The 22,542-nt window shown below is 38.8% G+C and overlaps 1 protein-coding gene and 1 long non-coding RNA gene across 3 annotated transcripts in view, besides 5 other annotated features; one reads left to right on the forward strand and one right to left on the reverse strand.

Moving 5' to 3' along the window:
- Positions 1-8,668: 8,668 nt before the first annotated feature.
- Positions 8,669-15,215, reverse strand: LOC124904282 (uncharacterized). The gene is made up of 2 exons (XR_007066336.1): positions 13,989-15,215; positions 8,669-10,594 (listed from the first exon to the last, which is right to left on the reverse strand). It is a non-coding gene; the product is annotated as an uncharacterized LOC124904282 (long non-coding RNA).
- Positions 18,304-18,583: a silencer, noted in NCBI's record as "silent region_9394". NCBI's record gives its function as "represses an Ori minimal core promoter by ATAC-STARR-seq in GM12878 lymphoblastoid cells {active_cell/tissue: GM12878}" and the evidence as "EXISTENCE:reporter gene assay evidence [ECO:0000049][PMID:35858748]".
- Positions 18,505-22,542, forward strand: part of MAPRE2 (microtubule associated protein RP/EB family member 2) — a 166,444-nt gene continuing 162,406 nt past the window's right edge. The window contains exon 1 of one of the 2 annotated variants that reach the window (NM_001143826.3): positions 18,505-18,557. Coding sequence is in view for 1 of the 2 variants with exons in the window: in NM_001143827.3 (NP_001137299.1) it covers positions 19,996-20,019 (24 nt within the window). In the remaining variant the exon portion in view is untranslated. Of the gene's footprint in view, positions 18,558-19,845; positions 20,020-22,542 lie in introns of those variants that run through there. The other variant, NM_001143827.3, reaches the window with a different exon arrangement.
- Positions 19,399-19,900: an enhancer, noted in NCBI's record as "H3K4me1 hESC enhancer chr18:32557885-32558386 (GRCh37/hg19 assembly coordinates)". NCBI's record gives its function as "activates a minimal SCP1, AML or CMV promoter by ChIP-STARR-seq in naive H9 embryonic stem cells {active_cell/tissue: H9 hESC(naive)}" and the evidence as "EXISTENCE:reporter gene assay evidence [ECO:0000049][PMID:30033119]".
- Positions 19,399-20,944: a biological region, named in NCBI's record as "P300/CBP strongly-dependent group 1 enhancer GRCh37_chr18:32558231-32559430".
- Positions 19,745-20,944: an enhancer, noted in NCBI's record as "P300/CBP strongly-dependent group 1 enhancer chr18:32558231-32559430 (GRCh37/hg19 assembly coordinates)". NCBI's record gives its function as "activates an origin of replication core promoter dependent on BRD2, BRD4, P300/CBP, MED14 and CDK7 cofactors, with strong dependence on P300/CBP, by STARR-seq in HCT116 cells {active_cell/tissue: HCT116}" and the evidence as "EXISTENCE:reporter gene assay evidence [ECO:0000049][PMID:35650434]".
- Positions 19,901-20,400: an enhancer, noted in NCBI's record as "H3K4me1 hESC enhancer chr18:32558387-32558886 (GRCh37/hg19 assembly coordinates)". NCBI's record gives its function as "activates a minimal SCP1, AML or CMV promoter by ChIP-STARR-seq in naive H9 embryonic stem cells {active_cell/tissue: H9 hESC(naive)}" and the evidence as "EXISTENCE:reporter gene assay evidence [ECO:0000049][PMID:30033119]".

Consider the following 22,542-nt stretch of genomic DNA (forward strand, 5'->3'; position numbering starts at 1 on the left):
GGTTGTGAAACGATACCTTTTCTCAGTGGTAGCCCTGTTAAAGCCACTATACAGAGGGCTCACATTGCCCTCAGGTCCTTGACAGTGTCTCAGGACAATAAATACCCTATAACCCAAACAAAATTACCAGCAGATATGCACTTGTCCATTTGAGAAGGTCTTGGTAGAGTCACCCTAATTTACTGGGTAGAAATTTTTTCCTTTATTTTTTCCCCAGGCAAATGTATATTAAAGGAGAGAGATGAAAAAGTAAGTCAAATATATAGTATTATTGTGTTAAATATTAGAAATACATATGCATAATTGGCACTAAGAGTATATAAGAGAACAAAGAATATGTTATATGAATATTGTGATTCCAATTTTAAATGTGCAATTAGATGATTCATTTAGACATATGATTTTAAATGCAAATGCATAAAAGAATTATGGGTTTATAAGCAATATGACAACATTTAGAATAATAAATATTGTAGCTTCCTCATGTTTATGAATATAATTTAATAGATTTTAATAATTTAAATACTTGAGAAAGTGTTATTTGATCTGATAATTTAATCACTCTAAAAATATCAAATGTGTTAAATGTATACATCCTCCTTAAAATTAATTTTTAAACTATACCAAATTTTTAAACTGAATCATTAGATTTATAAGTTTAAATTTAAAGCTTAAAGAAGAACTAGAGTTTGAATTTTGTAACTTTAATCAATCAAATATTAATTTTAAAAGATCAAAGCCAGTACAAATAGTCCTCTCTATGAACAAAAACTGCTCCCAAGAACAACCAAAAGACTCACCCTAAGGTTGGGATACAATGAGCCCGTGTTTATAACCACTGTGGACTTTGTATCTTTAAATAGGCCAATCTAGCAGCCCACAAGTACCTGAATTACCAGTTCTTCTCAACAGTTTTCCTTTTCAACCCCTTCACCACCTTGTCTGGATTGCAACTAACCTATTCATTGTCTGATTTTTTTTTGGAATTATCTCCATATTTTTTCTATCAGGGCCACAACTTTCAGAAATATGAAGATGACATCCAATTGGATTCTGCAACTCTGTGATCTACAGGTACAGACTTAGCTATGCTGACATTCTATGCACCTCAACCATTCCACCTTAAAGTAGGCAAGGCACTTTGTATCTCCATTGCTTCTTCCTCTCCCACTTAAAAATAATAATTTTTTTTTGCTCTCTCTCTCCATTACCCTGGTTAGCTGAATTTTCACACTTATATGAGGTGAAAGTACCAATTTCTCTAAATAAACAAAACAGCTTTATGTTCAGAATGTTAGGTGTATGTGGGAATTTGTTTTGTTTTGTTTTTCATTTGCTACTTTCCTAAGACATTTTGTTACCTTATTAGGTGGACTCTTTTTTTTTGTATGAACTTCCTAGAAGGTTACAGGGCATTGCCCAAGTAAATAAAACAAGAAGCCCATCTGTGTAAATCAAATTCAACTATTACCAATTTTTCTAGGTAGTACTGAATAGTAATAGTTGAATTTGATTTACATAAATGGGCTTCTCAAAGAAAATAAGTAAAATGCTTACTTTTTAAAATGCTGATTACTTTTCAAAGTCATAAATCAGTCAAAAGTTGAAAGACCAAAACCTTCCATCTCTCTAGTTCACTGCCACTCTTTTACATAAAATGGAAGCAGCGGAAAAACTCCTCTTCTGTCCTACCCCAAACCAAAACCCAAACCCTACGGCTGCCAAACTCACCTGGAATCCCAGTACTACCCGGAAATCCTGTGGCTTTAACTTAAAAATTCCCATGTCATGCTTTCAAGCTCCAAACCTGATCCTACTTCTTAACTTTCAGAAGATAAGCCCACTTATTTCACCGAGGAAATAAAAGCCATCCTTTATCTCTTCCCACAAAGCCATCTAACTAACACATCTTTAGTACCTACTATGTAGTAGCCAGGTAGTATGCTAGAAAAAAGCTATGCCTGAGAGAAAAATAAGATGTAGTCTCTGCATTCAAGAAATGCATCGCCTGATAAAGAGGAGGATGTAGAAAATAATTAAAACAAAATATAATAAGTGTAGCTGAATGACTTGGGACAGTAATTCACAAAATGTGTAGCGCTCTTATAATAGCAAGTATAAGTAAAAGATGTAGTTACCCGAGATTTTTCCCTGAATTCATTCTAACTACTAGCTATCTCCTAATTTATGATTTTTTTGGTCCATCATCTGTAATTCCTGCCTAATCTAGTTTAAAACAAATAAGTGAAAGATGTGAATCATTAAGAACAAAGAAGAAAAAGTAAATCACTATTATTTATAATATGAAATTCCAATTCTGAGTTAATATTTAAAATGTTACTGTATATCTTTTTAAAGGTAAAACTTTTGAAATTTTCTCTTTCTCATGTGAGTGTGGTTAAAAGGATGAACAGAAAAATACACAGAAACATTTAAAAGAAAGATAGATCTGAAACAACAACATATTTTAATTATTAACTGATTTACTTCCTACCACCCTGTACTTCCTGGCATCCCCAGATCCTTTCCTTTTTTTAAGAAAACAAAACAAAACAAAACAAAAAACACTTCTTCCAAAAGAAAAAAAAAAGAAAGCAAAAAAACCCAGTAGTATTGTGGTTACCTATTGATGCACTCAAAAACCACCCCAAAATTCAATGTCCTAAAATAGCAACCATTTTATAACTTCTCACTATTCTGTGGGTTGACTGAGCTCAACTGGAGGGTTCTTCTGCTCCACATGATATTGGCTAGGGGTACACTCTTTCTGGACTCAATTGGATTAGAACATCCAAGGTGGCTATTTACATGTCTGGTGCTTTGGTGAGGATGACTGGCAGGCCAGGCTCAGTTGGGACACCAGTATATCAGGAGGTCTCTCTCTCACTCATATTGTATAGCCATCACAAAAAATATATTGAGCCCCTTCTCTATATCAGGCACTGCTCTAGGCATTAGCAATACAGTGGTAATCAAGAAAGAAAATCTCTTTGCTTTCATGAATTTAACTTTTAGCATGGGAAAAAAATAATAAATAAATAAATAATAATTTTTAATAGCTACAAGTACTCTGAAGAAAATTCAACAGGTAATGTGATGAAAAATGAGGGAGAGGCATTTAACAAGTGTTTGTTGAATGAATAAGCAAACATTTAGTTTCTCTCTCAGAGACATAGAACCATTATCAAACTAAATAAAAATGAGAAAATGATTGTGTTAACATTTTGCTTAAATTAACATATTAAATTTAGATCACGTGTTTCAAAGTGAATTCTGTGCTAACATAAATTCTATGTTAATCACGGAACAGAGGATATGATTTATTTTATTTGCCACTGATAAATTTTATCACAGATACTGATAGATTCTGTCACAGCACTAACATTACTCATAGCTCATAGAATTGCAGAAGTAATTTTTTGTACACTGTTACTGTTCATACAATTTTTATTATGATATAAAAGACTATCATAGACATAGTTAGCCAATTCTGGTCAAAGATACACATTCCAAACCATTTTAAAATTGAAATTAATCCAATAAATTATAATAGCATTGAAGATTTTAGTTCCTGAAATAGTTTATTGTTGAGTGTTTACGGTATAACATGAGTTATCACAAAATAAATAGGATCTTTTAAAAATTAGTGAATCACAATGGCCTCGGTTCTCCAGTGATATTTTAATGGCAGAATATGTACGTGAACAGAAAGACAGTCATGAATTGATGACCATAACCTTGAACCAGGGTTCAAAAACTTTAAAACTGTGTTCTATCTTTGCTAATGACACAGGTCATAACTTCACGCAATAAAACTTCATTCATCAGCCCTTTCTTTCCAGTCCATTGGAAGTCCTGTCTCTACACCAACTACTCTGTGACAGAAAGTCTCTTGAATACTAAAGGGATCATAATACCGTGCCTAACTCACAAAAATGTTACAGAATCTAGTTATATAATAGATTGAAAAGTGTTTTAACACCATATGCACATGTGCATAATATGATCTTACTATTTAATGCTCATGTATGTGAGAGCTTGAAGTGGCATGACTGAGGAAGTTGATTTTGAAGCCATTTGAAACAAAAAGTCATATAAAACAATATAGTAAACTGAAAAGAAAATAGATACTAAAAATTATGTACTGCTAGGCCATTTCAAGCAGTGATCTACAGTCTTTGAAAGGAAAACATTTGCTCTCATTTTAATAGCAATAATAAAGTGTTCTGTGTCAGCCTAGCTTATGTTAGCCTTAGCAGTACAGCAAAGCCAAGTTCTAAGCTTCTGATTTCTTCTTGGACCAATCCAGAAATGTGGGGTCATCCAGGTCGCTATATGGTGCCAGTAGTATATGCCATATCCTTCCAGGTGTCCTGGGCATTGGCATTCCATCTTTCTTAAAAAATACTTTGATCAAGTCTAAAACATTATTGTTTTTCATCAAGTCTAAAGCATCATTGAATATGACAATCAACGTATTATTATTATACATAATAGACGTATATAATTTCAGAGTATGTGATAATACATTCATATAATTTGTAAAGATCAAATCAGTGTAATTGGGATGTCCATCATCTTAAATATTTGTCTTTTCTCTATGCTAGAAACATTCAAATTATTCTTTCAACTATCTTCAAATATACAATAGATTATTGTAAAGTATAGTCACCCTACTCATCTATCAAACAGTAGGTCTTATTTAATCTATCAAACTGTACCCATCAATCAACTTCTTTTCATTTCCTCCTCTCCCCTACTCTTCCTGGCCTCTGGTAACCACCAATCTATTCTCTATCTTCATGAGATCTACTTTTTTTCTTCTATATATGAGTGAGAACATGTAATATTTATCTTTCTGTGCCTCGCAACATTACTTTTTAATGTATCCTATGAAAGAAAGTTCTATTAAATTATGACATGCCATGGATTGTATAATACATGCCAATTTCAAGGATTTTAAAAGGTAAAAAAAAGTTTGTCTTAGAATCAATGAATATAATAATTATTTTGTTAGCATAAAAGTAATGTATATTTGTTAAAAACCTGAAAAATACTGAGTATTAGCTGAAATATGGTTGCAGGTAACAGAAAAGCTTGATTATGTAAGAAAAATGTGTGTAACTGAAAATCCAGAGGAAGAACAGAGGGTAGAGTTGATTTAATTCAGGAACTAATGGCTATCACAACAGCAGTTTCTTTCCATCTCCCTGCTATGTCTCCCATTGTGTCAGCCTTCTTGAGACAAGCTTCTTTCGTGGTATCTGTTCCAGGTTTCCCATCTGCACCCCCTACACTACAATGGAGACAGAAATTCTATCCTAGCATTCTAAGTAAAAAATCTTTTTTTTTTTTTTTTTTTGAGATGAAGTCACACTCTTGTCCCTAGGCTGGAGTGCAATGGTGCAATCTTGGCTCACTGCAACCTCTGCCTCCCCGATTCAAGTGATTCTCCTGCCTCAGCCTCCTGAGTAGCTGGGATTACAGGAACCTGCCACCACTCCCGGCTAATTTTTGTATTTTTAGCAGAGATGGAGTTTCACCATGTTGGCCAGGCTGGTCTCAAACTCCTGACCTCAGGCGATTCACCCGCCTCGGCCTCCCAAAGTGTTGGGATTACAGGCGTGAGCCACTGCACCCGGCCTCTAAGTAAAAATTGTAATATTCATCTGCTAAGGTCATCTAAGTCATCTCAGTTCACCTGAATTGTAACCGTTTTTAGGAAAGTGAAAATGTACATGAAATGTATAGGGACCGAACAGGGAAAACTGAAAAATTTTCTTATTACTAAAAAAAAAGAATGTAAAAATGAATGCTTGAAAAGTGTGATGGTTAATTTTACTAGTCAACTTGGCTAGGCAGTGGTGCCCAGTTGTTTGGCGTCAGCACCACAGGCCAAACACACACACACACACACATACACACAACTACATATACAAAGAGAGAGACTGATTTATTTTTGACACACAAAAGCCAATAAAAATGTCTACTAAAACTTTGGGAGGCCAAGGCAGGTGGATCACCTGAGGTCAGGAGTTCGAGACCAGCCTGGCCAACATGGCAAAACCCTGTCTCTACAAAAATACAAAAATTATCTGGGCGTGATGGTGCGTGCCTGTAGTCCCAGCTACTCGGGAGGCTGAGGCAGGAGAATCGCTTGAACCCAGGAGGTGGGGGTTGCGGTAAGCCGAGATCGTGAGATTGTGACACTGCACTCCAGCCTGGGAGACACAGTAAGCTTCCGTAAAAAAAAAAAAAAAAAGGGAAAAGTATAAAAAGAAAAAAATAGAAATCCCCTATAATCAGGAATATCACCATTTTAAAATGTTTTATTCAACTTTATCTATTTACTTACTTTTACATGTATGAAAACATATGGGAACTTACTTTACTCAAATGACATCACACTGCATATATCAGATTCAAAACCTTGGAATCTTGTTTTTGTCCCGTAATATATTAAAGTGATCATTTTTCCATGCCCCTAAGTATCTTTAACGTAAATACCTAAATATATTTAACTGCTGATTTTTTTCAGCAGCTACCAAATAATCCATCACATAACTGAACTACAATCTGTTTAACTAGTTGACTGTTTCTGGGCTTTTTGATGATTTCTTTTTCTTTAACTACACAGTGCTCTCTCCTGATTTGAAAAAGCCAGTCAGACACTGTTTCTGGAATCTGAGGTTTCTAGAAGCCAGGATCAAAAGTGTCGCACTTGGTTCCACTTCATGCAAGCTAGAGCTCATTATGAATAAAAGAGCATGTTGCTAACTTGGCCTTTAGCCAGAGTCTGACCTGGCATCAAAACATATCACTGTTCTGGAGATAATCACAAAGATCTGCAACCATCATAAAGGTTTCTGTGGCAGTGACATGGACTCCTGATCCCTGTTCCTATGTTGTCATTGCTATTATAAACATGCATTTGTATTAAACTAACATAGTAATGTTTGTGACTTGTCTAAAATTTGTTTAATCTTGTAAGATTCTTGTAAGAAAGAAAATCAACAAAGAAAATAAAAGGAAAGGAGGAGTTATGAATATACCTGTTTGGTATCTCAGTAAGAACATATTTTGTATTCTATATTTACTCATACTCCCAGTTATGAGACAAAACTAAATGTGTGCTTGTGAGTGATGAACAGAATGGATGTTCTTGGAGAACAAAGGAAACACATGGTAGCATGTGAGTGTTCCTCCAAAGCACAGTTGATTTGGGAGTTTCAGGGCCCAACTCTCCCATCACTGCAGATATTGTTCTCTATCCATTATCCTCATTTACAGAAATCCTGATCCATATCCCCAGAGCCAACATACAGCTCACAGCAGCTAGATTTCTCTGAGACAATTAAGTGGCTTTTTTCCCAGTTGCTCTTCCCAGAATTTAGACGGGAGAAAAACATTTTGTGAAATGTTAATACTCTAATGGCAAGAATTAATTTGTGGATGTGGTTAAATGCTATCTTAGCAACGCCTTGAAATGTAGCGTATGATTAGCACTTCACCGGTACAGATATTCATTGCCTTTAAGAAATTCATTTTAATGTCTCTTGTTCTATTATTGTTATGTACTGCATTTTATGCCTTCCTTTTAAATCTTATTTTCCATATTCTAAAGAAAACTCTTTCTTACGAATGATGCATTTTACTTTTCAGACTAATCTTAACTTTCCTACCTCTTGTTTGGAGACTCATATAAGATGTTTATTGTCTTCAGGATGTCTGTTAGCTAAAAGAAGCTTAGAAGGACATTTTCTCCTACATGCTGAATGACTGAAACTTGAATGTGTGAAAGTTACTATCTTACAATAAATTTATGTTACATAGTGTTTCTAAAAAACAGAGTCACTAAATTACGGAGAAATAATACAACGTGGTAAAGATGATTTGGATTAAAACAACAGGAAAAAAATTCAAATCAGGATATATTTATGAATCTATTCTTTTATTTATTTATGTATTCATTTGTTCATTCAAAAGTATTTAATTATCATCTGTCATATCTCAGACACAGTTCTACGCCCTGGAGACAGACCAGTAAACTAAAAGACAAAAATTCTTGTCATCTTGGGCCCCATATTCTAGTGGAGAAAGAGACATTCCTACACTAAAATAAATTCCAATTTTATAAGGAAATCACAGCATAAGTGCTGGAAATTTTAAATAATAAAATGCCACAAAACATAAGAAAATTCCAAATTTAAATAAATATATATTTGGCATAAAACCATATTTATGAGATAAATATTAGAAATAAAATTGTATGAAGCCTGAAATTATACTGGTAAATTATCTGCAAGTGCTTAGTAAGTATAAGGGAAAAGCAAACACTTTCTCTTCTCTTACAAAGTTGACTCTCTCACAATTTTGGTTACCAAAATGTTGGGGAGTGGGCTTCTCCACACACCAAGCAATTCTCCAGCAGACTCCAACTGGATGTCCTACAATTTAACTCAATTCTCACACTACCTACCTAGAAATAGCATCAGATCCCACAGGTTAAGGGCTCACTCCAACAAAACTACCCCCAACTGGAAATGCCAATCACAAATCTAGGCCTCCACAATTTCTGAACAACCATCTATAAATTGGAAGTTCCCACAACCCCCTCCTTGAGTTTGATTAATTTGCTAAAATGGTTCATAGAACTCAAGAAAGCAGATTACTTCCATTTACCAGTTTATTACAAAGTATATTAGAAAGGATACAGATGGACAGCAAGATGGCAGTGATGCACAGGGCAAGGTACGTGGGAGGGGCGCAGAGCTGCCATGCCCTCTCTGAGCAAGCTATCCTCCCAGCACCTCCACGTGTTCAGCAGCCCAGAGTTCTCTGAACCATGCAGTTCAGGGATTTTTGTGGAGGCTTCATCATATAGGCATGACCAATTATTACCTCAATCTCCAGGCCCTTTCTCCTTCCTGGAGCATGAGGGAAGAACTGAAAGTTCCAATCTTCTAATCATAGCTTGGTCTTTCTGGTGACCAGCTTCCGTCTAGGAGCCCACAGAAAGTTGCCTCGTTAGAACAAAAAATGTTCCTATCTCCCAGGAAACTCCAAGGGATTAGGACCTCTGTGTCAGGAGCCAGGGCCCAAGACCAAACATCAGCACAAAAGATGCACCTAACACCACTATCACTCAGGAAATTAAAAGGGTTTGAGGAATTCTGTGCCAGGAACCAAGGCACAGACCAAATATATATTTCTTATTACATCACAATATGACAGTAAGAAATTTGTAGAAATGGCATGGCTTGAAAGGCATTGTCATAACTCAACAAGAACATTCTTTGACAGGTTGTTCAATAAACAATATGGAGAGGATGGAGAGTTAAAGAGGAATCGTGCTATGGTTTTACAATGCTCATGGTTCCGTAAGAAGGAAAGGCAGGGTCAGGTGCAGTGGCTCATGCCTGTAATCCCAGCAGTTTGGGAGGCCGAGGCACGTGGATCACTTGAGGTCAGGAGTTCGAAACCAGCCTGGCCAACATAGGGAAACCGCATCTCTACTAAAAATAGAAAAATAAGCTGAGTGTGGTGGTGCATGCCTGTAATCCTGTCTACTCGGGAGGTTGAGGCAGAAGAATCATTTGAACCCGGGAGGTGGAGGTTGCAGTAAGTCAACATTGTGCCACTGTACTCCAGCCTGGGTGACAGAGTGAGACTCTGTCTCAAAAAAAAGAAGGAAAGGCAAGATCAGAAAAATCATTATTTCTATAGCACAATGAAAGAAAATAAATGACCCATTTGCACAAGGTTTTAGGTGATGCAAGAAAGAGAGACTATCTTACAATACACTGCAGTCTGGAGAACCCTTGAGGAATAACAAAATAGTGAACATGGAAAACCAGAAAAGAATTACATACTTTTAAAGAGGTCATTAGAGTGCAAAACTAGCCTAAATGTCCACTTAAAATTCTAACATTGTCTGTTTGGTAATGATGTATTGCCATTACCATTATACAATGCAGTAGTTGATTCTTAATCATTTTCATTATAAATAATTATAAATGTTAAGCTGTTACATTAATTTGTCTTTAAAGGAAGGGCTATTTTTTAAGATCAGCTGTTGTAGAAAGGGCTACAGATTGAGAAATAAAAGCTACTGCAAAATCTGTGTCTTTAAGCTCTCCTGAGCTTAAGATTTTTATTTAAACCACCCATTAGACATCTTTCCAGAATCCCTTAGGGACCTCTGACTTGACATGTCCGAAAGTGAACTCAGTATCATGCTTGATATCCCATTTCATCATCTCTACTAACAGTTCTACCATCCACTTAGACTGGCTAGCTACAAACCTGGAAATAACCTCTCTCTCTCTCTCTCTCTCTCTCACACACACACACACATACACACACATTCTCTCTCTCTCTCACACACACACACATACACACACACACTCTCTCTCTCACTCTCTCTCTTACTGAAGATCACATGTTTGGTGATCTCTCCTCTCTATCATCATTATCACTGTTTTAGGCCAGGTCCTCATCGGTTTTCATCTGGATCACGATACTTGCCCTCTGGCTGATCTTCTAGACTCCAGTCTCTCGTCATCTGTTTCATCCTGTGGCTGAAGTCATCTTCCTAAAAACAAACCAGATCATAGACACCATTTCCCTAATACCGTTTTTGGTTTTCCTTCTGCCCATGCACTCCTATAAGTAAAATGTTTATCTCAAATACACATATCCATTTGTAAATAGCATATATTATACAAGTACTGCATTAATATATCATACACATAAGAAAACATAAAAATTGAAAAATTAAAGGATGAGATGAAGATGAAATAACCCCTATTTTATATGCCATTTATTTATTATTTTTGTTTTTTTTTTTTAAGAAATAATGTCGTGCTCTGTTGTCCAGACTGGAGTGCAGTGGCATGATCATAGCTCACTGCAGCTTCTAACTTCTGGGCTCAAGCAATCCTCCTGTCTCAGCCTCCCTAATAGCTGGGCCTACAGGTGCATGCCACCATACCTAGCTAATTAATTTATTCCATTTATAATGGTAGATAAAAACCTTTTGCCATTACTAAAATGTTGTTTAGTGAGAGTAATATGGTTGAATATTCTTCACATTTTTTGGAAATTTTTATTGTGATAAGGCAACTTACAAATCTGAGTACAGCTTACTTATATTTAGTTTTTATGGCTGTCAGAGCTACAGAATACACCTCACATAGAACCACATATGCAAACAGAGGAAGCATTCATTGGATGAGCTTATGAAAGTATGATACTCATTTTTCAAAGACCATCCACCAGTTTTGCAAGGACTTTTGTTAAAATTTATTAACATTTGAAATATTCATGTTATTTCAATCTTTTTAAGTTATTTGTCCATTCTGTGAGGCTTAGGTTAGTCAATCCAGATAATATAATACATAAATCCACTTCACTGAGTAACATAAATTGCTGATAAATGGTAATTTGCTTTAAGAATGAACAAGGTTGTTAAGGACACCCCTCAGCTGTGGATCCCAACCTTCCCTCAGAATTCCTTGCACATAGCAGTCCCTCTGTCTGTCTGATATACGGACCAAGTGAGAGCGCCAATGTCAATCCATGTTACTTATTAATAAAGCATAAATCGTTTCTCACATTTTTGGATAGATAGCCAAGTTTTAACCTTTTCTTCCCACACCCCAGTATATCACTCACAAAGCCCTTGAGTGGTTCTCACCCTACTTTGGAGACCACTGGCTAATGTATTACATTCAAATATCTCAGCTGGACATGCAAGGACTTTCCTGGTCACCCTGAGCAATCTCTCAATTCCTCAAAGCCTACTCATCAGCCACGTTGAACATTTCATCATCCTCGAATCTGGTTATAGCTTTGTCTTTCACATTTTCTATCTAGAATACTCTTACCCACACACTGCCTTATCCAAAAACATCTTCACCTAGTACACTCTTCTTCATCCTTCAAGACATGCACAAATTAGAGCACTTTGATGTTCTTTCTGCCTGCCCAGTGTTCTGGGCACTCTGTTCACACCTTTTAATGCCCCTTGAGCCACACTATGGACACATATGTCTCTCCCTATGCTGGAAGCCCCTTGGAGCCAAAGACCATTTGAGTAATCACAGAGCCTAACACAGAGACTTCCCAATAGACAGCACCACAAAAAATATTTTCGGGATATTACAACTTAGAAAGATTGAGCAATTTTAAATATAAAAAGCAAAGAACAGCAAATATTTGTTGAAGAATTGAAGACCAAGAGGAAAAAGCTTCTGAGAAGAGTCAAGGAATCAATTCCCTGTTATTCTTACACTGGCTGACCAATTCATAGATAGGATATAAGGGAGCTGCAAAGAAGGTGCAACTGGCAAGGTAAGGTTTAATTAATCAAGAATAGCTTTTGATTCAACAAAAACTGGCTGCATTGTCTTCCAGAAGATCCCACGATGAGATGGTGGTGACCCCAGTGATCCCTAGAAAGCATTGTACTCCATAGAGCTGCAACAGAAAACTAGAAATTCCATCTCAGCCTCAGAGACTGAGGGGGACTGAAAAGATAGCTTTACCTTCTAAGAGATAATTACTAATTAATAAATTAATTAAATCTATTGCCTTCAAAATGTATAGAACTGATTACCTTCAGCTACACCTGTTCCAAGCAGCATATTAAAAAAATATATCCAACTTATTTCTTTGCATGTGAGTTTATTTTCAGTGTGACATAAAATCATAAACATTTCTATCACACGATGGTTTTGCATGAGCCCAGGTTAAAATTTTTCTCCTTTTGATGTACGTTAAACATAGCTTATAATATACATCCCAATGTGTATCATATAATAATTTTGCTTTTCCATTCTATGTTATCTTATGGAGGCAGCAGTTTTTGCCAGTGGTCATAGCCAGAAATTAGGACATGGGTGAGTCATTTAAGCTTTCTCCTGAACTTCACTTATAAAATGATGACACTTTTTAGTTGACTCACAAATACTCCTAAGAGCCCACAGAGTTCTTTGAAGGTGGTATTATTTTTTATTGCAACACTTACTCCATGAATAAACGCTAGAGTCATCATAAAGCAGTGATCCCTGCAAGCTGTCATTTCATGCCACCTTTGCTACTCATCTTAATAAACACTATCATATCTTGGTAATGAACACTTCCATCTCAGTTTCACAGGGTATTGCTGATATATTTATAAGTAATTCACTGTAGCATATTTCTTGAAGTTAAGATTTATATTTAAAGCAATATTACAACTTAGCAAGGACTCAGAGGCAAAAATTAATTATATAAAATAAAAATAATTTTAGTAAACAGCTTAAAACATTAATTGATAAACTTTGCCTCTCCTTTGTAGTCCCTTGTGCTAGATATTTTTGGAAATGTGTGATTGATTGAAATTCTCAGAATATCAGCTTTGGGAAGATGCTCATATTATATAAAAATATTTAATTGGTAACAGTCTTATAAAGAAGTAAATGTTTTAAAAGGAGAGTAGATGTCACTGATGGATGTGGGCAAAGACAACGTAAAACTGTTGAGATCAAGAACACTATTCAGTGCCCAGAAACACATTACAATATCCTAGATCTGCATAGCACTTCAGAGCTTACAGCATCCATCAGTCCTTTATCTCTTTTAAGCACATGAAGTGTTGGGAGATGCAGGAAGCAAGTTTAGTTGACATAATCTCTGCCCTTTGGAGAAAGAAACCCAAAACTTATTGAAAAGCATGATTTTATTTTTCTCACATTGATATCAGTGTTTTTTCCCTTTGTTTATGAACTGAATTTTACTCACAAAGCTTTATTTCAACATTCCCACGAACATGACAAGTAAATTATTTGGTAACGCATAAGCAGATAATCATGGGAAAAACATAGGACAATTTGATACCACTAAAATATTTCATTTATACACATACCTTCACTCCTCAAGGAGAGAATGACCAACAATGTCATCAAAATTAGCAAATTTATTTGTGTTAATGTAACCTTACTTACCTAATGGTTGGTGTGTTCCCTAGGGTATCATACAGATGATCTTTCCTGAATGCTGTGTCACAGAAGAGTTTGGATGATCAAACTGCACTCTAACCTGGAGTAGACTAACCTTGGCTAAATCATAAGATAACCCTGGCAGGCAGAGAGAGAGAATTTGTCACCTTTAAGTGTTTTTCTACATAATATTGTATAATGATAACAACAACATTAATGTTTCCCAAAGACTCTACATGTAACAGAGTACCTTCCTTGAACTGGTAACCTGTTGCTTATCCTCTACTATAGCTAGACTATTTTCAGTCTAGCTTTATCCCTAACCCTCCTATGCGAAATGGATCCCTGTGGCAGGCATTACTCAGAATCACCAAGATTCCTAGAAAGTACGATCTAGAATCTTGGTGATTCCTAGAAACATAAACATAGCCCTTAAAGTTAGGCAATGACCATGTGACTTTCCTTGACAAGAGAAATGTGAGAAGTGACCTGTATCACTTCTGGATGAAAGCACTTGAGGTTTGGTGTGCAGTTCTCCACATCCTTCCTCTGCCATGGTGCTCATGGAAATGTCACAGGAATGAAGGTGGCTAGAACAATGAGTCACTGTGATAGCAGCACTGGAAATTTTGCATGAGAAGGAAATTTACTTTTGTTGTATTAAGCCACTGATATTTTGATGGCATTTGTTACAGCAGCATAATTTAGCCTACCCTGACTGATACAATCTCTCACTAGCTCAGTCACCATTTATGTAGCATCCCACAACTGCATATGTGACTGTTACACCAGTAGGTAGTATATACATATACATGAGTTGACTCCAGTCACTGTTGAGAGCAATGTCTCAAATAAATACCTAGGAGCAGCAGGAAGGTAGTTGGGATAAATCACACTGGGTTCCACACCATTGCCAGGTCCCTGGATTAGCACTGAGGGCTCCCCACTGCAAATAACCATCTTGATTTATCACCAAGGAGGTATCAGTTTTATGGGAGGAGAAAGGGGTTTAATTTAGAACACACTAAAATCTAGTGGGTAGCCACATTGACAAATGGAATAGAATAGAGAACACAGAAATAAAGCAACATATTTATAGCCAACTGATCTTTGAAAAAGCTGACAAGAACTTACACTGGGAAAGGTCACCCTCTTAAATTAATGGTGCTGAGAAAATTGGATAGCCACATGCAGAAGAGTGAAACTGGACCCCCTATCTCTCAACATATACAAAAATAAACTAAAAATGGATTAAAAACTTAAAGGTAAGACACCAAATTACAAAAATACTAGAAGAAAATTAGGGAAAACTCTCCTAGACATTGGTCTAGGTAAAGAATTTATAACTAAGACCTCAATAACACAGACAACAGAAACAAAAATAGACAAATGTAATTTAATTAAGCTAAAAAATTTCTGCACAGCAAAAGAAATAACAAAATGAAAAGACAACCTGTTGAATGAGAGAAAATATTTGCCAAATATTCATATAACGGGGACTAATATCTAGAATACATAAGGAACTCAAACAACTCAACAGGAAAAAACAACCCATTAAAAAGTGGGCAAAGGACATCAGTAGACCTTTCTCAAAAGAAGACTACAAATAACCAACAGGCTTATGGAAAAAATGTCCAACATTATTAATAATCAAAGAAACTCATATCAAAACCACAATGAGATATCATCCATCATACCCCAGCCAGAATGGCTATTATTAAAGAGACAAAAAAATAACAAATGTTGGCTGGGATGTGCAGAAGAGAACTCTTTAATACACTGTTAGTGGGAATATAAAGTTGTATAGCCACTGTATAAAACAGCATGGCAATTTCTCAAGAAAACTATAAATAGGATTACCATCTGATCCAGCAATCCTGCTATTGGGCATCTACCCAAAGGAAAATACATCAATATATCAGAGATACCTGAACTGCCATGTTTATTGCAGCACTATTCACAATTTCAAAGATAGGGAATCAACATAAGTATCTATCAACAGATGAAAAGATAAAGAAAATGTAGTGTATATACAGAATGGAATATGATTCATCCCTAAAAAAGAATGAAATTGTGTTATTTGCAGCAAATGGATGAAACTGGAGATTATCATAAGTGAAATAAGCCAGGCACAAAATGATGTAGTATGTTCTCACATATTGTGGGAGCTAAGAAATCTGAACACATGGAAGTAGAGAGTGGAAATACAGACAAAGAAACTGAGTAGTGTGAGTGTAGTGAGGGGGAGGAGGATGAAGAGAAGGAGGTTAAAGTGTACAAACATAGAGTAAGAGAGAAAGAGTAAATTTAATGTGTGATAGGGAATAAGATGACTATGCTTAAAAATATATATACATATTATACTCAGGTGATGGACACTGTAAATACCCTGACTTGGTCACTATCCATTATATACCTGGGAAAATCTTTCGGGTACCCCATACATTTACACAAATAAAAATATAGTTCAAGTGGAAAAATAAATAAAATTTTAAAAGCTCGTGAAAATGGAAATTCCTAGCAACTAAGGGAAAGGCAGAAATAAGGCTTGCAAATGGGTTAAGAATGTGGGTACGGATTCAGAAGTAATCCGCTCACACTTGAAAGATGAACATAAGACACACATAAAATTTCTAAAGAAAATGGCATAGTGGGAAAAAAGGCAAGAAATTAGTCTGAGGAAACACTCATATTTGGAGGACAGAGAGAGAAGGAGAAGTAAGGAAGGAAGATATGAGAACTATGATGACAACAGCCATTCATTTTGAGAGCTAAGAATACCATATCTTCATTAATAAATTCATTTAAATTTAAATTTCAAGGTTTTTAACTGAGGATAAAAAATGTACTAAACCTTAACAATCCATGTACTGTCTCAGATATTAAAATAGATTACCCATGTGACAAGCAGCTGGACATTATCTGTAATAGAAAGCAAAATGATTTTTTAATTCAATGTCTCAGAACTAATTTATCATGATTTAAAGGAGAAGCAGAACTTTTTGAACACATACGATCTGTTCCACATTAGAGTCATTTATTTATTCATCAAACTTATCCTATACATCTGGCACATGCTAGGCACTACAGGGCACAGTCCTTGTTCTTGGGCAGGCTACCTCACCCTTGTGCCCATTTCACACATTGCTCCCCCTGCAGCCATGCTGCACTTGGTGCCAGCTTTCCCCCTGCAAGGATGACCTCTACAGTGACTTAGCTAGCATTTTCTGAACCCTAGGTATGTGTGCCAGGCACTACACTAAGTGCCTTATATGGACTTTCTCACTTAATCTTCAAGACAACCCTATGAGGTGGAAATTAGTATCATCCCTATTTTACAGTATGTGAGGCTTAAATGTTGAGAAACTTGCCTAAGATCATATAGCTTGCAAGTGGTGTAGTCAGGACTCAAAATAGGCTGGCTAATGCCAAAGCGGCGATCAACACCTCTCTACTGAAAGTGTGGTCCTCAAACTAGCAGCAATGCCATTAACTGGGAGTTTGCTAGAAATGCAGAATCTCAGGCCTAACTCTCGACACGCTCAAATTTGGCTTCAACAATATCCCCAGGTGATCCCTCTTAAACTTTGAGAAGCACTGTGCTAAATCACTCCACTACGAAGACTTGGCTTTAACGAACGCTGGGGGAGACATGGACAATCTTTCCCCTGAGTAGCAATGTGTAGGGCACAGGAGGGAAGGTATATAATGCGTTTTCCAAGGGCTAACAGAAGGATTCAGACAAATCCTTGCTGTTTCAAACACTAGAGATCACTGCGATCAGCACCGGTCGGGACCACTTCCAAAAGCAGCAGATCTTGAGCTGGGTCTTGAAGCCAGAACATTTTCTCATTTCATTAAAAATAGCTGCTGTTCCAAATGGACAAGCGCCCACATCAGTAGACTTCTGGAGTTCGCTTCTCCAGCCTGCACTCCATTTTCCAAATAGAACCCAAATATCAACAGCATCAACAAGCAGATTTGAAACCCCCCAAAAACACGCTATTATTAAATTGTTAATTGTATTAGAATTGCCTAGTTTAATTAGTAATATTCATGACAAAACTAGTTTGCCCCTTATCATCAATCGTGCTCCAGGTAGGAGTACAAACACTGGGTGTAAAAAGCAGATGCACCCCAGTTGGTGTGCAAGCCCCCGTTTGCAGGTAATTAATTCACAGTGTGGCGGCGCCTTTTCAAGCCCCCTCTGCAAGCCGCGCCGGCCTCCTCCCTCTCGAGCGGGGTCAAACCACTTAGTTTATTTCACCCGCTGGCACTTTCTTCCCTGTCACGAATTCAGCCTGGCTTCCTTTGGCCTGAGACAGCGTCTTCAGGCGGGTCGGCTCGGACCTGCCCAGTGGGGCGCCCACCTGCACCCGCACCCGCACCCGCACCCGCGGGAAGGGGCGGCGCTGGCCGGACTCTCTCGGGTGGACTCCCGGAGCGGCGGCGGCGGCGGCGGTGGCAGACTGCGAGTCACGTGCGACAGAGGAGGCGGAGCACGGCGGCCGGGTGGGTGGAGAAAACAAAGCCCCCAGCTGTCAGCAGAGGAAGGAGGCGACAGCGCCGGAGCAGGTGAGTCAAGTGCATTTAAAGCGGTACCGCCCTGGCGCACCCCGACACCCCCTGCACTGAAGCAGTCCCTCCCAGGCCAGGGGCTGGCTGCGCCTCCTCCTGCCGCTGAGGTCTGCAGCCCGCGGGGCTCGGAGCAACCGGAACCGGGGGTCCAGAGTCTAGCAAGAAGTTGTGCAAGGGTCGGCTAGGCGGTCTCCGGGTGTGCACCCCGCCGCTCTCCCGCGGGCCACATCTCTGGTTCGGTGCCCCAGCTCTGTGCACCCCAGGAAAGTGGAGGGAGGGAGTTGGGGCTGCCACGCTGGCAGAAGCGAAGTGGACTGGTTCTGAGGGGTGAGGCTGGGGCTGTCCAGGGTAGGAACACGGCGTTGGTGAAGGAGGGGGGCTCGCGACTGCGCGACCGCGGCGCACGACCCTCCAGGCTCTAGCTGGGGCGCCGGCACTGAGAGAGCTGGGGGCTCTGGCAGGGGCTGCGCGCTTGGGGGCAGATCAGGAAGTGCAGCGCGCTGGCGCTCGCGCGCTTGGGAGCATCCCCTGGACCCCGGGCACTTCCCCTTCGGCAGCCACCACTCTCCCACTCCGACGCCGGCCACCATCCGCGCTCCCGGGACTCAGGAGCCGGGTGGGTGCAAAAGGAAGCGGGTTGTTATTCTGCGCCCAAGCATCTCTTCTGCAGGGAGCCCCGGGAGCGCAGGGCGAGGGCTACTCAGCGACTTCGCACTCGGCTTAGTGGGAAATTCTTCGGTCTACCCTTAGAAGGGCTATGCGGAAGCCAGAAATCCCACAAAGAGCCAGGAGAGGGGTGGACGCGGAAAGCGGTCCCCTCTGAACCTGGGGCGCTCGATAAAGCTGATTTTCAGACCCCAAAAGGGCTAGTGGGTTTGGTCACTCCTCCAGTGACTTCGTCAATACAGTGCCAAGGGCAGAGCCGTAACCTCGGAGAAGGGGCGCTGCAGCCATTTGATCAGGAGAAGCCTTTGTCTTAACCCCCAAGCCCCTCCTGCTAGTCCTCGCTGGGTCAGTAGCGCTGGGAGTAATTAATATTACGAACATTAGCCTTTCCTTCACCTCCGCACCAGCCAACACTGCTGTCCCCTCCCTGATTGTCTTCTCTATCACTTGTTCACATCTCCTTTTCCAAAAAAAGAAGAACAAAAGGAAAATAGTGTAGACCCGCTAGGCAGGAAGAGGTCACTAAAAATACTATCGTGCTGTCAATGTAGAATGAAGGGTTAAGCGCTCAAACCCGCGCCCGCGCGCACCGAAACGGAAGAACTTCCTTGATTAGCATAGTATCGACCCTGGGGCCGCGCTGCGAGGCGGAGGTTCGGTCCCAGCTGGGGTGAAGTGTGCAGACCGGTTGCGATTGTGGTCAGACGCAGCACCTACTTCTAATCTGAGGACCCGCGATTTACACTTTTGCTGAATAGGACACTGTGGAATGAAACAGAACAGAGATCAAAAGGTAATCTGAAGAATGGCAACATTTCCCCTGCTTCTCCTGAACGCTAAATTTGGCCAAATTTTTATCAAGCAAAAAGGGGTATGGCTCTTGGTTAGCCAGTGTCCCCTCTGGAAATGAAATGCTTCCTTACTTTGCTTTCGTTCTTTTCTGCCAAACTGATTAAAGACATCAGTTAGGGGTAAGATAAGAGGTCCGGGAGCTCACCGAGTGATTGGTAGATAAGCTTAACTGGTAAATTTTCCTTGCGTGGGTAGAGCTATGCTTCTTCAAAGCACTGGTTCTCAAATTTTGCTGCATAGTGGAATCATCTGGGGAGCTTTGAGAACTCCTGATGTCCTGATCACATCCCAAACTATTTAAATCAGGTTGTTTGGGAGTGAGAAATAGGCACAGTATTTAAAAGCAAAAACAACTCCTGGTAACTTCATTGTGCAGCCAAGTTGGGGAAACTCTACAGCAAAGGAAGAGTTCAGCGGCCAGCAGCAGCAGGCATTGCAAGACAAGATGCCACTTTAACTACTTGGGTGGGTGAGAGAAAAGACGCTGAAACTGGAGTGCCGATGACTAACACCCTGGGGCGGGGAACTGTCATCTAGCAGCCTAGCTGGTGGTGACACCTACCACAACATTTTTCCCTTCCCTGGCTAGGGTCTGATTGGAAAAATCGAAGCTTACTTCAATGCCTGGTTTCTGCACTGTTGTTAAGGGAGACGGATAGAAACTTCCATTCCTGTGATGACTCATGTGTAGCAGTCAGTAGGAAAACCCAGCAGAAACATACTCCAGCAGCCTGGTGAGTCAGCAGGCTGCACAGCGATCCCAGTGAATAGGAAGTAATTACAGCGAGTAGTTTGTTGACACGCACAAACTGCACTCCTTTGAAAGCACATTTAATATCTGATCAGGATCTACTTGCTTGCAGGAGCCACTCCCTTTGTAGCACACCATTCTGCCTGTTTCATATAATGCTCTCTTCTGTTAGAAGGGGAAACACAAAGCTAACTAGACATCCTGTAACTTTCTTGGTGGGAAGCATGTAAAAAAAAAACTGTTGGGAAAGTGTAAACTGGTTTGGGTTATTTCAGTTATGTGAAGCAGAAAGGATGAATATGTAACACATAAATTTTGCATACAAAAAAGTCAAATACTACTTGATTATACATCCAGGAGTGAATTAAATGATCTATTTAAATAGAAATGGTTACACTTAACATTTTATATAAAACCTCATGTTGGCTATTAACCAAAGGTTTCTTGCCTTTAAAACTGTCATCCCAAAAGGATTACTCCAGGATAACCTGTTATCTCTGGTTCTCTGTATCTTTAACAGGTTATCTTAGAGTCATCAAAAAACAAACTTTCTTTTTCTTCTTTCAGTTTTAATACCTCTTCACTATTTTTAATATCACTATCACTCTCTGCACTGTTGTCTAAATGCTTTCTTCCCCTTCCTCAATTTCTTTTCTTTTCTTTTTCTTTTTCTTTTTTTCTTTTTTTTTTTTTTTTTTTTTTTGAGACAGAGTCTCACTCTGTTGCCCAGGCTGGCACGATTTCGGCTCACTGCAACCTCCGCCTCCAAGTTCAAGCGATTCTCCTGCCTCAGCCTCCTGAGTAGCTGGGATTACAGGCACACATCATCATGCCCAGCTAATTTTTGTATTTTTATAGAGATGGGGTTTCACCATGTTGGCCAGGCCGGTCTTGAACTCCTGACCTGAGGTGATCCACCCGCCTCGGCCTCCCAAACTGCTGGGATTACAGGAGTGAGCCACCACACCAGCCCTCAATTTCTTTAAGGAGGAAAAACAGTGTCTTGCACACAGCAAGCACTCAATATTTTTGGCCGTTGAACTTTATCTGAACCTCTCTTAGAGCATCTATTGTAGCCTGCTTGGTATTCTATTTTCTCATAGGGGCCTCAGTGTCTGTAGCCCCCAAAGCAGGGGCACAGACTCTGTTAGTTATTGATACTGCTTGTTCGTACTGAAGAGTATCAAAAGGTGGGGAGAACATTGAAAACCAAAGCATCCTGAGTACATTCAGTTTGCTGTTTTCCAAGACAGACATTCCAGATATATAGAAGCCAAAGTCCTGTCACAATTCTTACTTGCTATGATAGCTTATTTGTTCACTTACATTTCATACCCAACAATTTAGCATTTTGAGCATAACTAATAATTGTTATCACATTTAACCACACTCTAATGGGCCAAAACAATCACTTCACAAAATTTCACTCTCTACCCATTATTATGAAAAACCACATATGAATTTATTGAGCTAGGAGAAACATTGTAGAATAGATTAATAGTTAAATAGCTTTTATTTTCACCTGTGTATTGCCCATTAAAATAGCATAAGTACATTTAAATAGCCACCATATTAAAAGTAAGAAGTTGGATGTATTTTGTGATAAGTACAACCAAAACTAAATGTTAATAAGAATTTCCAAAGACCAAAATGATATAAATGCATTCATTCTCACTTCTTTGTAGCTTAGAAAAAGAACTGGGGAGGCACTTC

Source organism: Homo sapiens, chromosome 18 (genome assembly GCF_000001405.40).
Source record: "Homo sapiens chromosome 18, GRCh38.p14 Primary Assembly".
NCBI lineage: Eukaryota > Metazoa > Chordata > Mammalia > Primates > Hominidae > Homo > Homo sapiens.